Genomic DNA, 27049 nt, shown 5'->3' on the forward strand with positions numbered 1-27049 from the left:
CTTGGATGTAAAGAGAAATGACAGTAAGTAACTATTGTCATTTATTATGACAAGTTAGCATTTATTGAGTATCTATGTGCTAGTCACAGCAACCCTGCAGGTTAGGAATTATTCTCCCCATTTTACAGATGAGGGAACTGAGGCTTAAGGATGTTAAGTAACTGGCCCACAGTGACTCAGATACCTCATGACAACATCAGGATTTGGATTTGTGCCTCTGGCTCTGAAGTCTACATTTTTGCCACAGGGAAAAATAATCAATCATAGTGCCCTCATTCTTTTTGTTCCCAAGATGCAAGGGCTGAGTTTCCTAGTGGTCTTAAGTATAGGAGAACCAGGCCTACCTTTGGAAAATTGTTTCACTATATATCAACCCTGTTTATAACTTAATAGTATGCTGACCTCATGCTTGATTTTTGTTTTATTTTTGCTAACATGGCAATGTGTCAAGTGTTAATTTTTAAGCAATCTCTGTGTGTATCTTTGAAACTCATCTTTCACATGGACTGTGAGTACGTATTACCTCACACACTGCCCACCCTTCTTCCTGCAGACAATCATTAGTGTTTCAGCATTGAAAGTATCAGCATTGTTTTAGGAGCATTAGGAAAGAGGCTTCAGAAATCAATCCTGGGTGGCTGGGTGCGGTGGCTCACGCCTGTAATCCCAGCACTTTGGGAGGCCAAGGTGGGCGGATCACCTGAGGTCGGGAGTTCGAGACCAGCCTGACCAACATGGAGAAACCCTGTCTCTACTAAAAATACAAAATTAGCTGAGCGTGGTGGTGCATGCCTCTAATCCCAGCTACCTGGGAGGCTGAGGCTGGAGAAACGCTTGAACCTGGGAGGGGCAGGTTGCGGTAAGCCGAGATCGCGCCATTGCCCTCTAGCCTGGGCAACAATAGTGAAACTCCGTCTCAAAAAGAAAGAAAGAAAGAAAGAAGTCAATCCTGGGATTTATCCAGTTTACTGAGAGCGTGAGTTAAGTAAGCACGTAGCTTTCTGTATAGAACTTTTGAGATCTGTTGTATTTCTGGTGCCAATAAATGACATTTAAAAATAGCTTACCTTGGCCAGGCATGATGGCTCACACCTGTAATCCCAGCACTTTGGGAGGCCGAGGCAGGCAGATCACTAGAGGTCAGGAGTTTCAGACCAGCCTGGCCAACATAGTGAAACTTTGTCTCCACTAAAAAGACAAAAATTAGCCGGGCATGATTGTCAGTGCCTGTAATCCCAGCTACTTGGGAGGCTGAGGCAGGAGAATCGCTTGAACCCGGGAAGCAGAGGTTGCAGTGAGCCGAGATTGCACCATTGCACTTTAGCTTGGGAGATGAGCGAAACTCTGTCTCAAAGAAAAAAAAAAAAAGCTTACTTTAAAATAATACAAATTATGAGGATGTGAAGAAATGTTGCCGGTAGAAATGTAAAATGGTACAGTTGCTTTGAAAAATAGTCTGGCCATTTTCAAAAGGTTAAACATGGTTATCATGTGACCTATCAGTTCCACTCCTAGGTATATACCCATGAGAAATGAAAACATATGTCCACACAAAAGTTTATATTTATATATATATATAGGCATTATTTATAATAGCTGAAAAATTGAAACAACATACATATTAATATCTACCGCCTGATGAATGGATTCATAACATCTGATGTATGTACACAGTGGAATATTATTTGGCAGTAAAAAGGAATGAACTATTGATTCATACTGCAACATGAATGAATTTGAAAATATGGTAAGGAAAAGAAGCCAGACACAAAAGGCCATGTGTTGTATGATTCCTATATGAATGAAATGTCCAAAACAGACAAATGTATAAATTCAGAAAGTAGAGTAATAGTTGTCAGAGGATGTGGGGGATGGAGGAGTAAGGAGTGACTGATAATGGATATGAGGTTTCTTTGTGAGGAGATGAAAATGTTTTGGAATTAGATAGTGGGGATTATTGCACAGCCTGGTAAATATACCAAAACTAACTGAATTGTACACTTAAAAAAATTAAAGGCCACACGTGGTGGCTCATGCCTGTAATCCCAACACTTTGGGAGGCCGAGGCAAGCAGATCACCTGAGGTCAGGAGTTTGAAACCAGCCTGGTCCTACATGGTGAAACCCCATCTCTACGAAAAATACGAAATTAGCTGGGCATAGTATGGGTTCCTATAATCCCAGCTACTCTGGAGGCTGAGGCAGGAGAATCGCTTGAACCTGGGAGGCGGAGGTTGCAGTGAGCCGAGATCGAGCCACTGTATTCCAGCCTGGGCGACAGAGCGAGACTCTGTTTTAAAAAAAAAATTTAGGATGGGCGCGGTGGCTCACACCTGTAGTCCCAGCACTTTGGGAGGCTGAGGTGGGTCGATCACGAGTTCAGGAGTTCGAGACCAGCTTGGCCAACATGGTGAAACCCCATCTCTACTAAAAGTACTAAAATTAGCCAGGTGTGGTGGCGGGCACCTGTGATCCCAGCTGCTCAGGAGGCTGAGGCAGGAGAATCGCTTGAGCCTGGGAGGCGGAGGTTGCAGTGAGCTGATGTGGCACCGTTGCACTCCAGCCTGGGCAATAGAGCAAGACTCTGTCTCAAAAAAAAAGTAAATTTAAAAAATTTAAAAATAACGTTAAAAACTCAGAACAGTACTGTTGTTTTTTGTGGAGCTCTCAGGACTATGAAAGATGGGTGGGCAGGATTTAGACACTCAAATGAGTGTGAGGGGATTGAAGCTGAGGGAAAAGCAAAGGTAGGAAGATGTTCAAGAGTGGGGCCAGACCAGGTGCTGTGGCTGCTGCCTGTAATCCCAGCACTTTGGGAGGTCGATGTGGACGATCACTTGAGCCCAGTAGTTTAAGACCAGCCTGGACAACATGGCAAAATCCTGTCTCTATAAAAATTTTAAAAATTAGCCGGGTGTGGTAGCGCATGCCTATAGTCCCAGCTACTCTGGAGGCTGAAGTGGGAGAATCACTTGAGCCCAAGAGGTCAAGACTGCAGCAAGCTGTGATCATACAACTGCACTCCAGCCTGGGTGACAGAGACCCTGTCTCAAAAAAAAAAGGCAGGGTGGGGGGGTTGGGCAAATATAAAGTATAACAGAAGGGAAGCAGTTCAGGTTGTTAGTGGAGCAAAATGGGCATGAAGGCAAGGTATAGGAGTCAGTATCTTCATCTCCCATTTTTCAGACAAAGAAACCAGGGCTAAGAGGCCAACTGCTTGGCCAACCAGTATGTAATAGAGGCTGGATTCAACTCCAAAGCCAAGGCCCTTATTTATGCCTCTGTACTTCCTTCCTTTTTCCATTGCATTTTCTCACCTTTGTCACAACACCATGGCCTCTGTTCTTTTTTTTTTTTTTTTTTGAGACAGAGTCTCGCTCTATCGCCTAAGCTAGAGTGCAGTGGCGTGATCTCAGCTCACTGCAAGCTCTGCCTTCCCGGTTCACACCATTCTCCTGCCTCAGCCTCCTGAGTAGCTGGGACTACAGGCACCCGCCACCACGCCCAGCTAATTTTTTGTATTTTTAGTAGAGACGAGGTTTCACCGTGTTAGCTAGGATGGTCTCGATCTCCTGACCTTGTGATCCACCCGCCTCGGCCTCCCAAAGTGCTGAGATTACAGGCGTGAGCCACCACACCTGGCCAGCCTCTGCTCTTACGGATGGTAAAATTAAACCATGGAACCATGGATCATGACATTTTCAGTGAAGCAATTAAATACTTCTTAATTTCATGGCTTCTGGGGCTCCTTTAAAGTCCCTCACCTCCTATTCATATAGACTAGCTGTCACAAAGGCAGGATTCATGACCAAGAAGGCAACATGAGATACCTCCAGGTAAAGAGTCAGTTGCTTAAATGTCCACTTTACAAGCTATTAAGGAGGTCTAAGTACCTTCCCTGCAGAACAGCGATTTAAATTTTGCCCTGGAGCCACCCTTTCTCTAGTAAAGTTGGAATTTGAAGGCAAGTTAAGGAGGATGGAGTAGTGAGAGAGCTTGTAAGTAAAACAGCAAGTCCCTCTTCAGACTTCCCCTTAAATACAGCATCCCACACTCTCTAAGTAATCCATGGTTTTTACTGGAGCTTTATTGCAGTATCAGCTAGAGGTGCACCCTGCTTTTGTGTTTCCCTCCCCAACTAAAGAGCAAGCAGCCTATGTCACCCTTCATCTCAAATACAAATTAAAATTCCTAATCTCACCAGATGTGATTAAGATGATACTTGAAGCTGTTCACACACTTAGTAAGCCCAATTATATTTTTTATTAACACTGACATAGTTCCTTTTGTTGGTGAATCATAACTTTACAATTTTTAACTGAATGAAGCATCAATTACCCCCTCTCAGGTCACGTTGAGAACTTGGCAGTGGTGGAAGGTAAACTTAAATGGTGTCTGTACAGTTTGGGCAACACATTTTTAGATTTTTACATTAGGCTTTTGTGCTTCCTGACCTTGTGGTATCTCTCCTGCCCCAGAGGAGGATTGAAGGTTGGGAATGAATTGAGCCTCAGGGAATGAATCACAACCCCTTGAGCTGCCAAAGACCTCATTAGGTCATCTCTCTGTCCACCTGCTGGGACATGATTGCTAAGGTGTTTCTTAGGAGAAAGCTGTTTTAGAATCACTTTTGTACTTTGTGTTCAACTTTTGTTTTCCACTATTGATAACCTTTAAATAGGGACAAAAAGAGAATTGTAAAATATTTTCTTTGGCAATTAGGGTTTTCTTTTTGTTGTTGTTGTTAATGGCTTAAAATGTTCATTCACTCAACAGGTATTTTTTATTATTATTATTATTATTATTATTATTATTATTATTATTTTGTGTGTGTGAGACGGAGTCTTGCTCTGTCTCCCAAGCTGGAGTGCAGTGGCACAATCTTGGCTCACTGCAACCTCTGCCTCCCAGGTTCGAGCGATTCTCCTGCCTCGGCTTCCTGAGTAACTGGGATTACAGGCACGCACCACCACGCCTGGCTAGTTTTTTGTATTTAGCAGAGACAGGGTTTCGCCATGTTGGCCAGGCTGATCTCGAATTCCTGACCTCAGGTGATACACCTGCCTCGGCCTCCCAAAGTGCTGGGATTATAGGCGTGAGCCACTGCACCCGCCTCAACAGATATTTATTGAGCACTGCTATGTTTGAGGGTGCTGTGCAAGGTACAACACTGAGAAAAACAGTCATGTCTTGCCTTCATGGAGTTTACAGTTGGAGAAGAGCAAATGATACAAAATCACACAAATGTAAAACATGGTTTTGACACAGGTGCTCTAAATAAAAGGTACATGGTGTTCTCTCACTAACTCCATCCTCCTTAACTTGCCTTCAGATTCCAACTTTACTAGATAAAGGGTGGCTCCAGGGCAAAATTTAAATAGCCGTTCTGTAGGGAAGATACTTAGACCTCCTTAATAGCTTGTAAAGTAGACATTTAAGCAACTGACTCTACCTGGAGGTATCTCATACTGTCTTCTTGGTCGTGAAACCCGCCTTTGTGACAGCTAGTCTATATGAATAGGAGGAGAAGGACTTGAAATGAGCCCCAGAAACCATGAAATTAAGATGTATTTAATTGCTTCACTAAACATGTTTTAGGGACATTTTCCCTGACAGCAAGGGAACGAGGCAGTAACCCATCAGTGAGGATCTGTGGGTAGTTAGGAATTAACCTAGTAAAGAAGGGAGGAGACCAGGCACAGTGGCTCATGCCTGTAATCCCAGCACTTTCGGAGGCCGAGGTGGGCGGATCACTTGAGGTCAGGAGTTCGAGACCAGCCTGGCCAACATGGTGAAACCTCGTCTCTACTAAAAATACAAAAAAAAAGAAAAGTTAGCTGGGTGTGGTGGTGTGTGCCTGTAATCCCAGCCACTTGGGAGGCTGAGGCAGGAGAATTGCTTCAACCCAGGAAGCAGAGGTTGCAGTGAGCTGAGATCGTGCCACTACACTCCAGCCTGAGCAACAGAGCAAGACTCCATCTCAAAAAAAAAAAAAAAAAAAGGAAGGAGGAAAGAGTGTTGTAGGATGCGAAACAGCAAAGCAGCAGGACTACAGCAGGGAGGAGCAGGAGGCAAGAACTGCATGAACGCCTGTGCCCTCCAGACCCTTAGGATCAGTAAGGAGGGGCATGGGTGAGTGGGTTTGGAGCACCAGGCAACCCACTCTAACCAGATGGCTCTCCTTTTCTCTCTTTCATCAAGCCCTCTCTTAAGATTTCATGGAAAAACAAAGTTCTGCTGCTCAAAAGAAAAAAAAAGTTTTGAGAACTCACTGTCAGGCTATGTACGTGCCTAGCGAGAAAGTTTTATACCACATTTCATGTGTCATGCCACATACACACCCTTCCTCACCTCTTCACCACTGATGGAGAATTCAGTCTCTCCTTAAGCCTACTTTCATAAAATGCAATGAGAATGTTTGGATATCTGTACAAATTTCTGAGCTTGGTTGTCCAACACACAGCCCTTAACCATTATGAAAAACATCCTAATTGCAGATTAAAAAGGTAAAAAACCATATGGCATTATTTTAGGCCAGTGGGTTTTAAGTAATTTTTTAGCGGTGGAATCCATTTTCAAATGAGATCTAACATGAAGGCATCAAAAACTCAGGTGATTTTTATTTTCTTCTTTGTGTCTTTTATATTTTTCATGTTTTCTAATATGAACACGTATTGATTTTATAATAAGAAGAGAATGTTTTTAAAATTACATGGCTGTTTAGGGAAACTGAATTGTTTCATGACAACAAGGTTCAGGGACTAGTACAGATTGAAACAGATGGCTTCCCTCGGTGTAGTACCCCCCGTTGACCTTTTCACAACTAGGGATTACTAAAGCACAGAGTGACTATGGCTTTTTCACTGTGAAATTATATGACAGCAGAAACCTAACTGACAAACAGATGTTTTTCCCAAGTGGAGCTTTTCTTAATGAAATCGTTGCTTGGAAACCAGACCATAATAATAACTTCTCTATATTTAGTTTGTAAAGTGATTCAGTTTGCAAAATTATTAAGTCAGAGTATACTAATTAGATAAAATTGAATGTATCTATTATTTGTCTTGCAATTCAGCAACCAAATGGTTAAGCTAGGAGCAGAATTTCATCCGGGATATATCTGTCCAGATGCCATTCATAACAGGGGACATACAAGGAAAATGACAGCTCATAGAGCAACGCTGCTCTGCTCCTCACTGTGACTGCATTGGCACAGTGGTGTTTGATCTTTCACTCATACTTATTAGAAGCTGTTACTTGCAGCACTTATTAAGATGCTGAGACGATCAGTTGGGTCACTGGGTCAAAAATTGTACGTGAAAATGTGAAAATAAATTCAATTTAAATTACTCAGTGAGACAACAGTATAAAGGAGAAAGATTCAGGAGTGAATATACTTGTTTAGCATGATAGAATTTATCAGTGGAAAGTCTGATATACTATTAGTAATACAAAGAAACCTTAACATGCAGCATATTTGTCAGGTAGATTAAAACATTAAATCTTAAATTCAAACTATACATATTCTATAAAAAAATAGATATCTGCCTTCCACTTCCAGTAATAATGAGATAACTCAGCTAAAAATAACTATTATATAAGCCAGGCATGGTGGCTCACATCTGTAATCCCAACACTTTGGGAGGCCCGAGGCTGGAGGATTACCTGAGGTCAGGAGATCAAGACCAGCCTGGCCAACATGGTGAAACCCCATCTCTACTAAAAATACAAAAATTAGCTGGGCATGGTGGTGGGCACCTGTAATCCCAGCTACTCGGGAGGGTGAGGCAGGAGAATTGCTTGAACTCAGGAGGTGGAGGTTGCAGTGGGCTGAGATTGCACCACTGCACTCCAGCCTGCGCAATGGGGTGAGACTCTGTCTCAAAAAAACAAAACAAAAAATAAAAACAACTATTACATAGGGTAACATATTTAAAACACTTTAAAAGCATTAAAGAGCTCATAAGAAAACAGGGAATAACCAAGCCAGCATCTAAAGAGAAAACCAGAACTCTATGAGGTGAACTGAACATAAGAACCTGCATTTACTCTGAGGGCATTTGCTTGAAATTAAGCTGTGGGTTTCATGGCTTTGAAGGGCAACATTGCAGAAATGAAAGCCCAGACCAAGTTTGAAGTAGGAGTCTAACAGAAGGCCCTCCAACATTAAGCTTAGACCCGCTAAGGAATACGCCTCCAGATGTACCTTCAAGTACCTTCACCTGTTCCCAAGGGTCTGGGAGTAGACTTGTCTTGGCACTAAGCAGAGCAGGAGGGAATAAGGAAAGAAAACCTCTATCTGAGGCCAGGCACAGTGGCTCATGTCTGTAATCTGAGCACTTTGGGAGGCCGAGGCAGTTGGATCACCTGAGGTCAGGAGTTTGAGACTAGCCTGGCCAATATGGTAAAACCCTGACTCTACTAAAAATACAAAAATTAGCCAGTCATGGTGGCAGGCACCTGTAATCCCAGCCACTCGAGAGGCTGAGGCAGGAGAATCACTTGAACTCAGGAGGCAGAGGTTACAGTGAGCCGAGATTGCGCCACTGCACTCCAGCCTGGGCGACGGAGTAAGTCTCTGTCTCAAAAGAAAAAAAAGGAAAAGAAAAAGAAAACTTGTATTTGAGAGGTTATGATCACGGAATGGACCTCTTCTGCTGACTTGCTTTATTGGGATTCAGGAAATCTCAAGCAGGGAATTAGAATTTAAAATGTTTCTATACCTGTAGTGTCTATAAGAGTCTTGCAGAAATGAAAGCATATCTCCTATGGAAGAAGGCCCCTTCATCCTAGACCTCGAAGAATCCTCATTGTCATTTTTTATTTTTACTTTAATTTTTAAATTTTTTAATAATTAAAAAATATTTTATTGCGGTTTTATGTGTGTATGCATGCATGCATGCATGTATAGCAACATAAAGTTGGCCATTTTAATTATTTAAAAATCTACAATTCAGTGTCATTAGTTGTATTGATAATGTAGTCATTATCACTATTTCTAAAACTTTCTCATCAGCCCACACAGAAACTCTATAACATTAGGCAATAATTCCCCATTTCTTCCTTCTCCATGTAATTATTTAAGGCTAATAATTAGTACATAGTCACAAAATAACCAAGCATAACACTATTTTTTTTTTTTTTTTTTGAGACAGTGTCTCGCTCTGTCACCCAGCCTGGAGTGCAGTGGTGCGATTTTGGCTCACCGCAGCCTCCACCTCCCTGGTTCAAGCAGTTCTCGTGCCTCGGCCTCCTGAATAGCTGGGATTACAAGCGCCCAGCACCATGCTTGGCTAATTTTTGGATTTTTTAGTAGAGACTGGGTTTCACCATGTTGGCCAGGCTGGTCTCGAACTCCCAACCTCAAATCATCTGCCCACGTTGGCCTCCCAAAATTCTGGGATTACAGGCGTGAGTCACCATGCCCAGCAAGCATAAGACTTTAGATGTTGGAATTGTCACATAGAAATTATGAAGTAACCATACTTATTATATTTAGAGAAATACAAGATAAGTTTGAAAATATCTTCAGGGAATGGGAAACAACAATTATCTAATAGATTTGAAAAATGAAATGGAAAGTCTTAAAGTAAAAAGTAGAATAACTAAAATTAAAAATTCAGGCCACATGCAGTGGCTCACACCTGTAATCCCAACACTTTGATAGGCTGAGGAGGGTAGATCATTTAAGGTCAGGAGTTCGAGACAAGCCTGGCCAACATGGTGAAACCCCGTTTCCACTAAAAATACAAAAATTAGCCGGGTGCAGTGGCAGTCCCCTGTAATCCCACCTACTTGGGAGGCTGAGGCAGGAGAATCACTTGAACCGGGAGGCAAAGGTTGTAGCGAGCCAAGACTGCGCCATTGCACTCCAGCCTGGGCAAGAAGAGGGAAACTCCATCTCAAAAAAAAAAAACAAATTAAATTAAAAATTCAGTGTATGAGCCGGGTGCAGTCACTCGCGCCTGTAATCCCAGCACTTTGAGAGGGTGAGGCGGGCAAATCACCTAAGGTCAGGAGTTCGAGACCAGCCTCAACATGGAGAAACCCTGTCTCTACTAAAACCACAAAATTAGCCGGGCGTGGTGGTGCATGCCTGTAATCTCAGCTACTTGGGAGGCTGAGGCAGGAGAATTGCTTGAACCTGGGAGGCGGAGGTTGCAGTGAGCTGAGATCGCGCCACTGCACTCCAGCCTGGGCAGCAAGAGCGAAACTCTGTCTCAAAAAAAAAAAAAAAAAGAGAGAGGAAGGAAGGAAGCAGGGGAGGGAGAGAGAGAGGGAGGGAGGAAGGAAAGAAAAGAAAGGAAAGAAAAAGAAAAAAAACCTCTTTTAATTGCAGAAACAGATTTTTAAGAGGCTTTCCCTCTATTTACAGATGTCCAGGATGAGCACAATGGCTTATACCTGTGATCCCAGCACTGTGGGAGACTGAGATGGGGGAGGATTACTTGAGACCAGGAGTTCAAGACCAGCCTAGGCAGCATAGCAAGGTCCTGTCTCTACGAAGCATTTTTTAATATTTTAGCAGGGTGTGGTGGTGCTTGCCTGTGGTCCCAGCTACTCAGGAGCCTGAGGCAGGAGGATCATCTGAGGCCAGGAGTTCAAGGTTGCAGTGAGCCATGATCATGCCACTGCACTCCAGTCTGGTTATCAGAGTAAGACCCTGTCTCTAAATTTAAAAAAACAAGTGTCCTGTTATATCTCACTAAACACAGGATTTTAACCTGAAGGGTTAATGTCAAGTTAACCCCTGTGTAGAACCCTACAGGGTGCCTGATTAGGTTGGATAACTCCCTGAAATTATAGGCAGAGTGTTTATGTGTGTATTTTCATATTTTAGGAAAGAATTCTTTGGAAGAGTTTTACAGTAGTTCTGTTTGGTTTCCATGTGACACTACAGTTTTAAGTCCTGCATGTCATGTTTGCTCATTTCACAATGATCGCTTTTTCCAAGCCACTGCTAGCCTGGAGCACCTATCACAAAGACTTGCCTAATCATGTCATCAAGACATCTGTTAGGGTTAAATAAGGAAAAAATGGGCCGAGTGCGGTGGCTCACGACTGTAATCCCAGCACTTTGGGAGGCCAAGGTGGGTGGATCATGAGGTCAGGAGTTCGAGACCAGCCTGACCAACATGGTGAAACCCTGTCTCTACTAAAAATATAAAAGTTAGCTGGGTGTGGTGGTGTGCACCTATAATCCCAGCTACTCAGGAGGCTGAGGCAGGAGAATTGCTTGAACCTGGGGGGTGGAGGTTGCAGTGAGCCAAGATCACGCCACTGCACTCCAGCCTGGATTACAGAGCAAGACTCCATCTCAAAATAAAATAAAATAAAAATAAAAATAAATAAGGAAAAAATGGAGAACTGAGGAAGAGTTTCCACCTTGCCTCTGTCACTGGCTGGTGCCCCAGACACAGGGCACATCTCCTAGCCCACCAAGCTTTTCTCAGGACACTTGGAGGATGTGAAAGATCAGCCCTGTCTTGCCAGAACTTTAGGCCAGGTGGCAACTCTCCGTGGAAGCCTTTGGCTTTTTCTAAACTAGTGAGAACCTGACAAGTCAGTCAGCTCTGCTGATTCTGCAGCTTTTCTTTGCATAGGCTTGAGGTGAAATGTCAGTAGAAAACTTAGGGGAAAAATAAACCTGAAGTTCAGGTGGTTCTCCTCCTACCTGGACCACCCATCTCAGGGCTTTCAGGAGGTGTGAGGAATGTTTTGTTTTCTTACCTAAATTTGGCGGACAGAGAAGTACCCATTATTTTCTTGGATATCCGAAGCCCCTCTTTTCTTTTTACTGGTAACTGTTTCTTTTGATAGCATAAAGAGAATATTTATGTGCTTTTTTACTCTTTGAAAGCTACATAAAGAAAATTAAATGAATGACGCCTGGCTTCTTTATTTCTTACCCGTGATCAGCTGAATTATAAGTTTCGCTGAATGCTTAGGGCAGTGATTACTTTCAATGCAGCAGTAATTGCCGTTTTCTTTCCCTTCCTTCTTTATGCCTTCAGTCAGTATTAGGGCAGCTTTTTTTTTTTTTTTTTCTGTACGTACTCCAGAACCTTGATCATCATGGTGTTCTTAAGGCACAGCTTTCCTGACTTCTGCTCTCTCACTCCTTCCCCTCTGGGATTCATTCACAGGTATTTGATAGAGGCAGCCCAGCACAGCTGACTGTAAGCTTTCCAGTGCTGTTTTTTAAATTATTTTTTATTTAATTAATTATTATTCTTATTTATTTATTTTATTTGAGACAGAGTCTCGCTCTGTCACCCAGGCTGGAGTGCAGTGACACAGTCTTGGCTCACTGCAACCTCTTCCTCCCGGGGTTTAAGCAATTCTGCCTCAGTCTCCCAGGAAACTGGGATTGCAAGTGTACGCCACCATGCCTGGCTAATTTTTGTATTTTTAGTAGAAACGGGGTTTCACCATGTTGGCCAGGCTAGTCAAACTCCTGGCTTCAAGTGATCCACCCACCTCAACCTCCCATAGTGCTGGGATTACAGGCATGAGCCACTGTGTCTCCAGCTGTGTTTTTGGATTTGTTTTATTTGTTTGAGTGTAGTAGCACAAGAGATTTAGGGGGCTTGCAGTAGCCTATAAAGATGTTGTGGAGTGGAGGTGTTTGAGAATCACTGGTTAAAAAACTGAAACTCATTAAAATCCAAGTTCTTCATTTTCTTTCATATGGCTTTTCCGTTATCCCTAATGTTGGCAGCACCTCAAGTTAGAATCATTCGTGAATTTCATTAACATCACTACCTCCCTTTTCCACATACTAAACAAAGATATCAACTAGGAACAAAGCAGTCCCTGTGAAGCCCAGCTAGCCACAGTGGGGGATGCTGGCTGTGCATGTGGGATGCAGAGTTCCTCTCCTTATGCTGACCTTGGAGTCCATGAGAAAGATTTCTTTTGGAGTGAGGCTGACCTTATATACTTGAAACTGTGAAGTTTGCTATCTTGAGGGTTAGGATTTGCAAAGCTAGTATGATTCCGGTAGTTATTTTCTCCGAGGCACTGCTGCCAGGTGCGCTGTCATGTAGCAGAGTGACTGAGCATGCGGGTTTGCAGTCCTGCCCCGCCACATGGCAGCTCTGTCATCTTGGGCCATATTTTCACCTCCGTTCCTCAACTCTTTGTGCCTCAGCTTCTCTCTCAAGGAATTACAGTGGTATCCACTTCAAATGATTGTTGGGAACATTAATGGATGAATGCATGTAAAGTGCTTACGACTGTACAAGGCATATTGAAAACCTTCAGTATTAGTGTCTTTGCTGTTGTGTTTGTATTTATTAATAATATTTCATCATCCAAATGGCTTCCACTAAATATGGCTGTCAGTAAATATAGATTATTCACGTGTTTTTACTTTTTTCCCTCCAAGATGGGAATTAGAAAACACTTTAAGGAAATATATTGGCATCATCTTAGTGTTCAGATATATTATTTAGATACTGATTTAAAGAGGTAGACACTGGGTATGGTTCTTACAAATTTTCAAGAAAACAGTCAATGATAGTTAAGAGAAGTGGTCAGGCACAAATAAATTTTCCTGCTGATTAAGATAATCACCAATCTGTAATTGTCCTCTCTTGCAGCTCTAAGTCACAAAGATAATAAAGAATTCTGAAGAGAAGAAAATATCACCCTTTAGCAGGATGCTTCGGTAGCTCTTTCGTCTAACCCTGTTTTTTCCTCAGGCCTAAGTAACATTCACTCATCCTGAATCTTTATAAATTTGTTGGGGCCTGTTCACAGTTAACAAAACTTTGGAGCTTTAGAGAAGCTAAATATCAAATTGGCATGCTAGACGTAATCATTTACTCTAATTACAAAGACAGCCCAGCTATTCAGTTGAGTTCCCCATACTTCCTTTATTTAATAACCAACTTCCCCAGTTTGTGCAACTTCCTGAATTCTTAGAGCTGAAATTATTGTTAGCTTCCATCATAATAAAAGGTCTCACATACGTAACAACTGAAGTATCCTGCTAAAGGGTGGTATTTCCTTCTCTTTAGAGTTCTTTATTATCTTTGTGACTTAGAGATGCAAGAGAGGCCAATCAGACTGGTGATTCTCTTTTCTTAATCAGGAGGAAAACTTTATTGTGCCTTCCCACTTCTGTTAACCATCATTTGTTATTCTCTTTAATTAGAGCTTCCACTAGAGATTAATATACATTTTCATATCTTCTTTCTAGTTTTTTAAATGAACTTATTTTTATTGATTACTTTGAACATAGTCTTTAAAGAGTCGAAAAAGAGGGCCGATCACCTGAGGTCGGGAATTCAAGACCTGACCAACATGAAGAAACCTTTTCTTTACTAAAAATACAAAATTAGCCAGGCATGGTAGTGCATGCCTATAATCCCAGCTACTCAGGAGGCTGAGGCAGGAGAATTGCTTGAACCTGGGAGGCAGAGGTTGTGGTGAGTCAAGATTGCGCCATTGCACACCAGCCTGGGCAACAAGAGCAAAACTCTGTCTCAAAAAAATAATAATAATAAAATAAAGAGTCAAAAAAGCGGCCGGGCGCGGTGGCTCATGCCTGTAATCCCAGCACTTTGGGAGGTCGAGGCGGGTGGATCACGAGGTCAGGAGATCGAGACCATCTCTGTGGCTAACATGGTGAAACCCTGTCTCTACTCAAAATATGAAAAAAAAAAAAAAATTAGCCTGGCATGGTGGCGGGCGCCCGTAGTCCCAGTCACTCGGGAGGCTGAGGCAGGAGAATGCCATGAACCCGGGAGGCAGAGCTTGCAGTGAGCCGAGATCGCGCCACTGTACTCCAGCCTGGGCGACAGCAAGACTCCGTCTCAAAAAAAAAAAAAAAAGCTTGTCCTTGTGCTTTTTTTTTTTTTGAAACAGAGTCTCACTCTGTCACCTCACCCAGGATACAGTGCAGTGATGCAATCTCAGCTCACTGCAACCTCCACCTCTCAGGTTCAAGCGATCCTCCCACCTCAGCCTCCATAGTAGCTGGGATTACAGATGTGGGCTACCACGCCTGGCTAATTTGTGTATGTTTAGTAGGATTTCACCATATTAGCCAGGCTGGTCTTGAACTCCTGACCCTAAAGTGATCCGCCCACCTCGGCCTCCCAAAGTGCTGGGATTACAGGTGTGAACCACCATGCCCAGCCCCTTGCCCTACTTTTTACACCCTAGTTCCAATCCCCAGAGATTGCCATCTTCATACCCCTCCTTTTTAAAGTAGTTTCTTCTAGTAATTATTTCTCTGTTTATAAATAAAGTGCTTACACAGACCTCTCTTGATTTAAAAAATTTTGGACATGACCTACTCACTTTCTACATGTTAGATGTGGACCTAGTGCACACACATAGGTGCACACGCATAGGTACACACATGCTCAAACAACTTCTGCCATTTCCCATCACAACTTTTGGCTAAATCATTGGGCACTGTTTACTGCTGACCATGTGGATGTTATTCAGTGCTGAGCCTAGTGCAGTCGTCAGCCTTCCCTGCACATTTGCTTCCTTTTCTGCGTACATACTGATATATTTTCCAAAGATCCAGCAACTCTATCATGCACATATCATAATTTTGCTCTAGTTTTGTTCTATTTACCCAGACTTCAGCCTTTGACACCTATCCCATTGTCTTTTTCCTTGGTTGTGGATTCATACCTTTTTTACACCTTGTCACTTTAGTGAGATTTCAGGAGAAAGAGGATGCAAATGTTTGTGGTCATTCTGCTGTGTTAGTTGCAAATTCTTTTTACTTTCAAAGTAGAACAGCTGACTAGCTGTTCTACTTTGAAAGACAAAATTTGTTAAAATGTTTTAAACATAAATTTTAAAATTTATCACAGATTTTTTAAAACATTTTATTTATTTATATCATTCAAAATTCAAAATATTCCCAACACAGAGAAATGGTAAACATTTGAGTGATGAATATGCTAGTTACCCTGATCTGATCGCTATATTATATCTATTGAAACATCACCATGTACCCTATGAATATGTACAATTATTATTTGCCAATTAAAAAATTAAAAGTAAAAAAAATTTTTAACTTACTAAAAGATACAAAAATAGAAAGTCTCTCTCTCTCACATTTATCCCCTTGTCACCCAGTTTCCCTCCCCAGAAATAATCAATATTATTAGTTTCTTGAGTATCCTTCCAGAATTATTCAATGAGTGTATATTTCCCCTTTGTACACAAATAGTTGAATTCAATAGAGACGATTTTGCATCTTGCTTTTTACTTAACAATAGCTCTTAGAATTCATTTCATGACAGTTATTTAAAAACATATTAATTTTTTTTTTTTTTTTTTTTTGAGACAGAGTCTCGCTCTGTCGCCTAGGCTGGAGTGCAGTGACGCGATCTTGGCTCACTGCAACCTCCGCCTCCTGGGTTCAGGTGATTCTCCTGCCTCAGCCTCCCGAGTAGCTGGGATTCTAGGGATGCATCACCGTGCACAGCTAATTTTTTTTTTTCAGTAGAGACGGGATTTCGCTATGTTGGCCTGGCCAGTCTCGAATTCCTGGCCTCAAGTGATTCTTTCACCCACCTCAGCTTCTCAAATGCTGGGATTACAGGCGTGAGCCACTGCACCTGCCCTTATTCATTTTTTAAATGGATGCCTTATATTCCACTGTATGAATGACCATCACTTAATCAATTTTCTGTTGATGCAAATTTGTTTCCAGTCTTTTCTATTACGAATAGTGCTACAGTGATGATTTTGTACATAAAGTGATTTCCTGCTGTGTTAATATACCTATTAGGATAGATTTCTAGAGTAGAATTTCTGGCTTACCACAGAATTTAGACTTTTAAATGTAATACACCATTTTCTTATGAATGCAAGACATTCTATGAAATGCAAAATACTTGATTTTCTTTTTTTGTTTGTTTTTTTTATTTTTTGAGATGGAGTCTCGCTCTGTCACCCAGGCTGGAGTGCAGTGGCACGATCTCAGCTCACTGCAACCTCCATCTCCCTGGTTCAAGCAATTCCCCTGCCTCAGCCTCCTGAGTAGCTGGGATTACAGGTACACACCACCATGCCTGGCTAATTTTGATTTTCTTTTTTAATCAAGTAACGGGTTACAATTCATTTTCCCCCTCTTTCTACTCTCACCCTGCAGGGGCAACCAAAACAGATTCGGATACAAAAGGAAGCTGATATTCTGCTCTTGGCAGTGGATTTCCCTTTATATTTAAGATATGCTATATTATTTTCTTCCTTTCTCTTCTATTTTAAAAACCTGCCAGGCGTGGTAGCTCACGCCTGTAATCCCAGCACTTTGGGATGCCAAGGCAGGCAGGTAACTTGAGCTCAGGAGTTCAAGACCAGCCTGGCCAACATGGTGAAACCCCGTCTCTACTAAAAATACAAAATTAGCCAGGTGTGGTGGCATGCACCTGTAATCCCAGCTACTCTGGAGGCTGAGGCAGGAAGATTGCTTGAATCTGGGAGTTGGAGGTTGCAGTGAGCTGAGATTGTACCACTGCACTCCAGCCTGAGACAGAGCAAAACTCTGTCTCAAAATAACAATAATAATAATAAAATTTTTAAAATAAGAAATAAAAACCTAAAAGGGCAGATATGAAATATTTTCTTATAGTTTCTTAATAACAACTTTTTGAGATATAAGTCACATACCATACCATTGATCCACTTAAAGTGAACAATTCAGACCAGGTGTAGTGGCTCACGCCTGTAATCCCAATATTTTGGGAGGCTGGGGAGGGGGGATCACTTGAGTCCAGGTGTTTGAGACCAGCTTAGGTAACATAGTAAGACCTCGTCTCCACAAAAAATAAACAAAATTAGCCATGTGTGGTGGCACACACCTATAGTCCCAGCTATACTGAAGTGAGAGGATAACTTGAGCCTAGGAAGTTGAAGCTGCAGTGAGCTGTGATTATACCAAAGCACTCCAGCCTGGGCGACAGAACAAGACTCTGTCTTAAAAAATAAAAAATGAGGCCGGCTGCAGTGGCTCACGCCTGTAACCCCAGCACTTTGGGAGGCCAAGGCAGGTGGATTGCCCAGCCAGACCAACATGGTGAAACCCCATCTCTACTAAAATACAAAAAATTAGCCGAGTGTGGTGGTGCGTGCCTATAGTCCCAGCTACTTGGGAGGCTGAGACAGGAGAATCATTTGAATCCGGGAGGCAGAGGTTGCAGTGAGCTGAGATTACACCACTGCACGCCAGCCTGGGCAACAATGTGAGACTCCATCTCAAAAAAAAATAAAATAAAATAAATAAATAAATAATGAAATAAACAATGCACTGGTTTTTAGTATATTTTCAGAGTGTGTAACCATCACCACAGTCAACTTTAGAAGTTTTTAAAATTTTGAGACAGGGTCTCCCTTTGTCACAAAGGCTTGAGTGTGGTGGTGTTGTGCTAGCTCACTAAACCTTGAATTACTGGGCTCAAGTGACCAACTTGCCTCAGCCTCTCAAGTAGTTAGGACTAGAGGCATGCACCACCATGTCTGGCTAATTTTTTTTTTTTTTTTTTTTTGAGACAGTCTCGCTCTGTCACTCAGGCTGGAGTGCAGTGGCATGATCTCAGCTCACTGTAACATCTGCCCTCTGGGTTCAAGCAATTTTCTTGCCTCAGCCTCCCAAGTAGCTGGGAATACACGTATGCACCACCATGCCCTGCTAATTTTTGTATTTTTAGTAGAGACGGGGTTTTGCCACGTTGGCCAGGCTGGTCTCAAACCCCTGACTGCAAGTGATCCACCTACTTCAGCCTCCCGAAGTGCTGGGATTACAGGTGTGAGCCGCTGTGCCCAGCCTATCTGGCTAATTTTTTAAATTTTTGTAGAGATGGGGTCTGGCTGTGTTGCCCAGGCTGGAATTTTAGAACAATGGCCCCCAACCTTTTGGGCACCAGGGACTGGTTTCATGGAAGACAATATTTCCATGGACGGGACGGTGTTGGGAGGGCGGGGATGGTTTCAGGATGAAACTGTTCCACCTCAGATCATCAGACTTTCCATTCTCATAAGGAGCACACAACCTAGATCCCTTGCATGTGCAGTTCACAATAGGGTTCACACTCCTGGGAGTATCCGTTGCCTCCAATGATCTGACAGAAGGCAGAGCTCAGGCAATAATGCTCCCTTGCTGCTCACCTCCTGCTGTGTGGTCCCGTTCCTAACAGGCCATGCCCGGTAACAGTCTGCAACCTGGGGGTTGGGGACCCCTGTTTTAGAATGTTGTTATCACCCCAGAAAGAAATTTCGTAACTATTAGCAGTCACTCCCTGCTTTCTCAAACTACCACAGCCCTAGGTAACCACTAAATCTACTTTTCCTATGTAGAGATTTGCCTATTCTGGACATTTCATTTCAATGGAATTATACAATGTGTGGGTTTTTGTGTTTCTTGTAGTTTTGTTGGCAGAAATATCTGTGAGTTTCAAGTGAGTAGGTGGTTTTCCGGGTTGCTGTGGGTATTTTGGGAAGTTGTTATCTGCCCAGGAGAAATGAGGCAGGTTAGTTTTGAGGTAGGAATGGCTTAGCAGTTCCCTGGGATAGAGCCAGTTAGCAAAGACATTTTAGAATTAGACTGACTTCCCTGTTAATGCAAGAGTACTAAGTAAAAGTACACGACACCCAAACTCCTTTTGCTACTCAGAATCACTGAGTAACACGCTGTGGGATCATCTTGAAGTCAACACTGTTTTGCTCAAAATATGTGTGTGGCTTTCAGGGAAGTCTTGGGGGAAGAAAAAAAAACAGTTATTTTACAAAGTTGACAGTCTGTTTTGTTACATGTAGTTATCGTAATAACATTTTTTTTTTTGAGACAGAGTCTCACTCTGTCGCCCAGGCTGAAGTGCAGTGGCGCCATCTCGGTTCAATGCAACCTCCACCTCCTGGATTCAAGAGATTCTCCTGCCTCAGCCTCCCGAATAGCTGGGACTACAGGCGCACGCCACCACGCCCAGCTAATTTTTGTATTTTTAGTAGAGACAGGGTTTCACCATATTGGCCAGGCTGGTCTCAAATTCCTGACTTCGTGATCCACCCACCTCAGCTTCCCAAAGTGCTGGGATTACAGATGTCAGCTACCGCACCTGGCCTTTTTTTTTTTTTTGGTGAGATGGAGTTTTCACTCTTGTTTCCCAGGTTGGAGTGCAATGGTGCAATCTTGGCTTACTGAAACCTCCACCTCCCGGGTTCAAGTGATTCTCCTGTCTCAGCCTCCCAAGTAGCTGTGATTACAGGCACCTGCTACCACACTCAGCTAATTTTTTGTATTTAGTAGAGAGGGGGGTTTCACCATGTTGGTCAGGCTGGTCTCGAACTCCTGACCTCAGGTGGTCCACCCGCCTCGGCCTCTCAAAGTGCTGGGATTACAGGCGTGAGCCACTGCACCCAGCCTAGCATTTTTTTTTTTTTTTTTTTGAGACGGAGTCTTGCTCTGTCGCCCAGGCTGGAGTGCAGTGGCATGATCTCGGCTCACTGCAAGCTCCACCTCCCGGGTTCACGCCATTCTCCTGCCTCAGCCTCCCGAGTAGCTGGGACTACAGGCACCCACTACCACGCCCAGCTAATTTTTTGTATTTTTAGTAGAAACGGGGTTTCACTGGGTTAGCCAGGATGGTCTCGATCTCCTGACCTTGTGATCCGCCCGCCTCGGCCTCCCAAAGTGCTGGGATTACAGGCATGAGCCACCGCGCCTGGCCACCTAACATTTTTTTAGTTACGTTAATTCACCAATATTCTACGCACTGCCTCCAAAAAAAGTTCAGAATGCGTCTGTGAACTCTTCCCAGTTTGGATTCACTTTTACCTTCTCTATATCTCATCTGTTGCACCACATCCTAAAATGCATAGCTAGTTTCCTACGGTCAGAGCAGAAAGAGGTCTCTCTCACACAATCCTTTGGGTCTCATTACCAAAGGGATTGATGTGTGATGTTTTCTTGAATCTTGTGCTGACCCAGAAATTACCCCATTTTCAAGTCACAAAGGAATTATCAAGTGTGATGGGCCCATGGTCATGTGAAGGTTATGGCCGTGCTTCCACAGAGTGTCTAAGTACAGAAAGTTTTTTCGAAATAAATAAAAACAAGCACACAAAATCTCATCCCTTTCATTTTTATACAGTCTTAACCATCATGTATGACTCTCTTCACTGCTTGGTGGGTAAAGGGGGAACTGCTGTTATTCTCCAGGGATTTATAAACTCATAGGTGGCACCTGTATCCTAGAAGGTAAAACTCAAACAGCCAGCCATTTGGCAGCCGTCTGTGGAACAGGCCAGCAGGAAGATAAACAATTGCTATTAGATCTGGGACTGTGGGAAGCAAGGAAACTGGGCTTTGCTTTGGGAACCTTTTTATGGAAGATTGGGAGAACTAAAAGCTCCCTAATGAGTTTAAAGTTTAGCATTATAGGAAAAGCAAAAAAAAAAAAAATCTGAAAAATCATTGTTAACCAGAAAAAGGGTGTGTTAGGATTATTTTAATTGAAAAACAGTCCAACTGGCATGAGCATTAGAGGGTGTTTATTGGCTTTTCTATCCAGAAAGTCGAGTGGGTGGAGTACACCTGGGTCCCGGAGCTGAAAAGATGCCATCGGGTCTCTTCTTCTTCTTCTCCCTCCCTCTCAGGCTGGCTCTCCCTCTGTGTTGGTGTCATTCTTGTGTGGGCTTTTTCCACATGGTGGCCACTGGCAGCTCCAGATTAGTCTCTTCAATGGGTGGTGGGGAGGGGAATTTATCTTTCCCAGTAGTGTCAATGTGGGTTTCAGGATCGAATCTCATTCCCTGTTCCTGAACCAGTCATGGTGGTGGGGATGGAATGGAAGATCCTAACTGGCCAGCCTGGGATACAAGTTCACACCTGGAGGGGGAGAAAGTGGGTATAGTTAGCCCACTCAAACCACACAGACTGAGAGTAAGAAAGGGATATTTCTCCAAAAGAACACCATGGTGGTGTTGTTACCAGAAGAGAGAGTAGATGCTAGGTGTAATCACATGTCTGCCCACTACAGAGAGGAAGTCCAGAGCTCATTTGGCCAGGATAGTATGTTCACAGAAGTAAATGACTGTTCTCTGCTAAAGACTAATGAGAGAAAATAGGAATAAACAACAGTAAGGGCCCGGCACGGTGGCTCATGCCTTTAATCCCAGCACTTTGGGAGGCCGAGGCAGGTGGATCACCTGAGGTCAGGAGTTTGAGACCAGCCTGACCAACATGGAGAAACCCTGTCTCTACTAAAAATATAAAATTAGCTGGGCATGGTGGCACATGTCTGTAATCCCAGCTACTCAGGAGGCTGAGGCAGGAGAATCACTTGAACCCGGGAGATGGAGGTTGCAGTGAGCTGAGATCACGCCATTGTACTCCAGCCTGGGCAACAAGAACAAAACTTCGTCTCAAAAAAAAAAAAAAAAAAGACTATGTTAAACAACAGTAAGAGGGACTTTAGTAATAGGTTTCAGAAAAGCTAGAAATAGATCAAAGTTTTATAAAGCAAATCCCATTTTTCCACTGTTTTCCATTGCAAAGTCATGACTACATTCCTAAAAGGAAACACCCACCAGATTTTCTGAGTTGAGAACTTCTGATTTTAGAAAGTAGCTATGGGCCGGGCGCAGTGGCTCACGCCTGTAATCCCAGCACTTTGGGAGGCCGAGGAGGGCGGATCACCTCAGGAGTTCGAGATCAGCCTGGCCAACACGGTGAAACCCCGTCTCTACCAAAAATACAAAAATTAGCCAGGCATAGTGGCAGGCACCTGTAATCCCAGCTACCTGGGAGGCCGAGGCAGGAGAATTGCTTGAACCGGGAGGTGGAAGTTGCAGTGAGCCGAGATCAAGCCATTGCACTCCAGTTGGGTGACAGAGCGAGACTCCATCTCAAAAAAAAAAAAAAAAGAAAGTTATGATAGCTGCAAATCTGTAATATATACCAGGCCTTGTAATATATCAGTGATATAACACCTGCCAGAATTGCAGTTGTGGAGGTCTTTTAGAAGTTGGAGGCTATTTCTGTTTTTCTTTTTTTGAGACCTCACTGTCACCCAGCTGGAGTGCAATGCTGCAATCATAGCTTACTGCGGCCTAGAACTTGTGGGCTCAAGCAATCCTCCTGCCTCGGCCTCCGAGTAGCTAGGACTACAGGCACACATCACCACACCTGGCTAATTTTTTTAAAATTATTTTTATAGAGATGGGGTCTCCCTATGTTGCCCAGACTGGTCTCAAACTCCTGGCCTCAAGTGATCCTCCCACCTCAGCCTCCCAAAGTGCTGGGATTACAGGTGTGAGCCACTGCACCTAGCCCCCTCTTCTTTCTCTTAGCAAACAATTCATTTACCCTTAGGCCTCAGACATTTTTTTCTTTTTTTCTTTTTTTTGAGACAGAGTTTCACTATTGTTGCCTAGGCTGGAGTGCAATGGTGTGATCTCGGCTCACTGCAGCCTCTTCCTCTGGGGTTCAAGCGATTCTCCTGCCTCAGCCTCCTGAGTAACTGGGATTACAGGTGCCCGATACCACGCCCAGCTAACTTTTTGTATTTTTAGTAGAGACGGGGTTTCACCATGTTGGCCAGACTGATCTTGAACTCCTGACCTCAAGTGATCCACCCACCTCGGCCTCCCAAAATGTTGGGATTACACGCGTGAGCCACTGCGCCCAGCCGATGCAGACATTTTTTTCTATGCTACAATATTCCATAACTCCGTGTTGAACCTCCAAGGACTTCTTCATCATTTTATATAATAGAGTGAACTACAACTACAGTGTCACATTTTGGCAACAGTGTTGTGCCACAGCCTGAATCTCTCTTAAGAGCAGAGCTTCTGCTTGCATAAGATTAGAGCCCATCTTAGGACTGAAGTCCTAAGATGGACTCTGGATTGGAGGTGTGGTTTAGGACCACATGCAGAGGTGCAGGCTTAGGACCACATGCAGAGATTTCCCAGGCTCTTTGGAAGCAAGAAAAGATGGGGGTGGGGAGGGCAGAAAGGAGGATGGGCAGACAGGTGCAGCCCTCAGCAGGTGCTCCGCCTTCACAGCTCAGCAGATGCGGCGGATAAGGCCAGTGAAGAGTGTGGATGTGATTTAGAAGAGAATGGAATCACAACCTATAACATAAAAAACTGCACGTAGACTTTGCCTGCAAGGCTGTCAGTTTAAACACGAGAATGGTAAATTTAGATGAAAAATAAGTATAGATTTCTCAAGCATTTATATTACTTCTTCCCCATCCTCTCTTTCTTAATTCCTGAAATTTATATCAGGACTGTATATTTGAATCCTGTTTACTCATCCATCCATTCATCCATTCATTCATTTAGCAGGTAGTTACTGAGCACCTGACATGTGCTAGGACTCTTCTAGGCATTGGGGATACAGCAGGGAACAAAAGAAAATCCTTGACTTTATTATAGAGTTCACATTCCAAGGAGGAGAGCAGACAATAAGGAAATACACAACCTGTCAGGTGATATTAAGTGCTAAGACAAATGAAGCAGGGTGAGAGGAGTAAAGAGTGGCAGGGGAAGGAGGGTGCCGTTTTATATGTGACAAATGTGATCTGTGAGCAGAGACATGATAGGGTTTGGGAGCAAGCTGTGAGGCCACCAGGAGGAGCAGCAGCAGATGCAGAGGGGAAGTGAGGCCGACTCCTCCGAGCCAGGATCACTTGGCCTACTGGAGAATAGCAAGGAGGCCAGGAAGCAAGGGAGAGTGTTAAAAGATGAGATCAGAGAGAGAACAAAGGAAGGCGGGGGATGGGGACTGCTCATATTCAGGGAAGAAGGGAAACCACTGAGGGGTCTGGGCAGAAGCATGAAGGGGCCAGACTTATGATTCAAACCAAATAGCTCCATCTGCAATGGATGAAAAAGGTAGAAGCAGGGAGACCAATGAGGGGATTATTGGAGAAACCCAAAGCAGAGTTGATGGGCCAGGGTGCTTGGGGTAGAAGTGGGTTCTCATCCTGGAACCCCTATTTCTACTTATTCCTTCTTTACTTTTTTTCTTTTTCGTCACTGTTCTTTATAGTGTGTAATCTTTTTCCTGTTCTCTGCTAAAGACTAATGAGAGAAAATAGGAATAAACAACAGTATAGACATGAATGGTAGAATTTGTAGTTATATAGTTTTGAGGCCAACCAGGGGTTTTGTTCTGGATCTGTCTGGTCATCTCTCACCTCCCTGCCACCCCTAAAAAGGTTGCTGAGTATGGGGCTGGGCTCAGATTATGATAACACTGTTCCAGGCTACACATTTAGAAGGCGCTGCTGTGGATAGGAGAGAGGATCAGCAAGTCCTACGAAGGGGGGACTCAGGGTCAGGGTCTTCCCTATTTCTGTTGATTAGGAAACTCAGCCATGAGCTTAGATCTAATATTGATCATGTCCAGGATGCTCTGAAAATGTTTCCTTGTGGAAACTGCTCCCATCACTGGCAGTTCCACAGAGGGAAATTATACAGGAATGGAGAACTGCAGCAAAGGCAGGAGGCATTGCCTGGATCATAGAACGTCAGTGCTGGGAGTGACCTTAGAGATCGTATCAGGCTGGGACTAGACAAACACAGGAGTCTCAACTACCAGGCCCATCTTCGTTCCACTCACTATGCTGACTCTCCAAACAATAGGCAGCCCTTGCTGGGAGAGCTTTAGAGATGGTTTTCAGCATCTCTGCGTTCATCCCATCACAGGGTGACTGGTTTATTTGCCTTTTGATCGTAAACAGTAATGAATCCTTTCTTTTTGTTTTCAACCCCAGGGGTTGCCCTGCTGTCAGACGTCTATCCTGAGAAAATCTTGCCGGACTTGTTGGCTCAATATGACAGCAGCAAAGACAAGCACACACCAGAGACCAGAATGAAAGTCGGGGAAGTCCTTATGCGAATCGTCAGGGCATTAGGTGAGTTTTCTTGTTCCATCCACCTGGAAAAGGGTGGAGGATCAGTGTGACTTTGAAACCAAAATGTGTGTACCTGGGGGCTTGTTACACTAGTGTGGTGAGGGTAGTTTGAGGGCTGGGATGTACCCATTTAGGAATTTAGGAAATATTCCGATGTCTACTATGAGACTGAAAGCAACAATGTCCTTTTTCTTAAACCTGCTTAGTCTCTCGCCAGGTGCGGTGGCTCCTGCCTGTAATCCCAGCACTTTGGGAGGCCGAGGCAGGTGGATCACCTGAGGTCAGGAGTTCAAGACCAGCCTGGTCCACATGGTGAAACCCTGTCTCTACTAAAAATACAAAAATTAGCTGGGCGTGGTGGTGTACGCCTGTAATCCCACTACTCGGGAGGTTAAGTCAGGAGAATCGCTTGAACCTGGGAGGCAGAGGTTGTGGTGAGTCGAGATCGCGCCACTGTGCTCCAGCCTGGGCGACAAAATGAGATTCCATCTCAAAAATAACAACAACAAAAAAAACTGCTTAGTCTCCTTCCCTGGGAGCTGTGTTGGGCCCTGATTTTCAATGGAGCTGGAATTAGAAGTCTCACACTTGAGCAGCAGCAAGCACAAAAAGAAGAGGAATGTCAGCTGGGCACCATGGCTCACACCTGTAATCTCAGCGCTTTGGGAGGATCACTTTAGGCCTGGCAGGAGTTCAAGTCCAGCCTGGGTAACATGGCAAAACCCCATCTCTACCAAAAATTAGCCAGGATTGGTGGCACACACCTGTAGTCCCAGCTACTCAGGAGGCTGAGGTGGGAGGATCACCTGAGCCTGGGAGGTCGAGGCTGCAGTGAGCAATGATTGTACCACTGCACTCCAGCCTGGGCAATAGAGCGAGACTCAGAAATAAAGAATAGGAATGTCAAGCAGGGAAGGAAGAGTGCTGACTCTTGCTGAATGTCTACTGCATGCCAGGTTGTCCATATATATAATCTCATCTAATTCCCCAACAAATCTTGTAAACAGGCTGTTACTAAACCTGTTTTACAGATGAAGAAACTGTAGCTCAAACATTTTCAGCAATTTGTCCAAGACTCATTCAGCTGGTAAGTGATAGTGCTGAGAACTGAACCACCAACTTGAAGGAAGTTACTCTAGGCTGTATAAG

The 27049-nt window shown here is 43.6% G+C and overlaps 1 protein-coding gene across 4 annotated transcripts in view, besides 1 other annotated feature; it reads left to right on the plus strand.

Moving 5' to 3' along the window:
• TANGO6 (transport and golgi organization 6 homolog) overlaps nucleotides 1-27049 on the plus strand; it is a 241652-nt gene that overhangs the window by 104738 nt on the left and 109865 nt on the right. For all 4 annotated transcript variants that reach the window (NM_024562.2, XM_047434632.1, XM_047434633.1 and 1 more), the window contains one exon: nucleotides 25760-25900. In NM_024562.2, the coding sequence (NP_078838.1) occupies nucleotides 25760-25900 (141 nt within the window). The remainder of the gene's footprint in view (nucleotides 1-25759; nucleotides 25901-27049) is intronic.
• Nucleotides 24239-24739: an enhancer, noted in NCBI's record as "NANOG-H3K27ac hESC enhancer chr16:69006410-69006910 (GRCh37/hg19 assembly coordinates)". NCBI's record gives its function as "activates a minimal SCP1, AML or CMV promoter by ChIP-STARR-seq in naive H9 embryonic stem cells {active_cell/tissue: H9 hESC(naive)}" and the evidence as "EXISTENCE:reporter gene assay evidence [ECO:0000049][PMID:30033119]".

This window comes from Homo sapiens, chromosome 16 (assembly GCF_000001405.40).
Source record: "Homo sapiens chromosome 16, GRCh38.p14 Primary Assembly".
Lineage (NCBI taxonomy): Eukaryota > Metazoa > Chordata > Mammalia > Primates > Hominidae > Homo > Homo sapiens.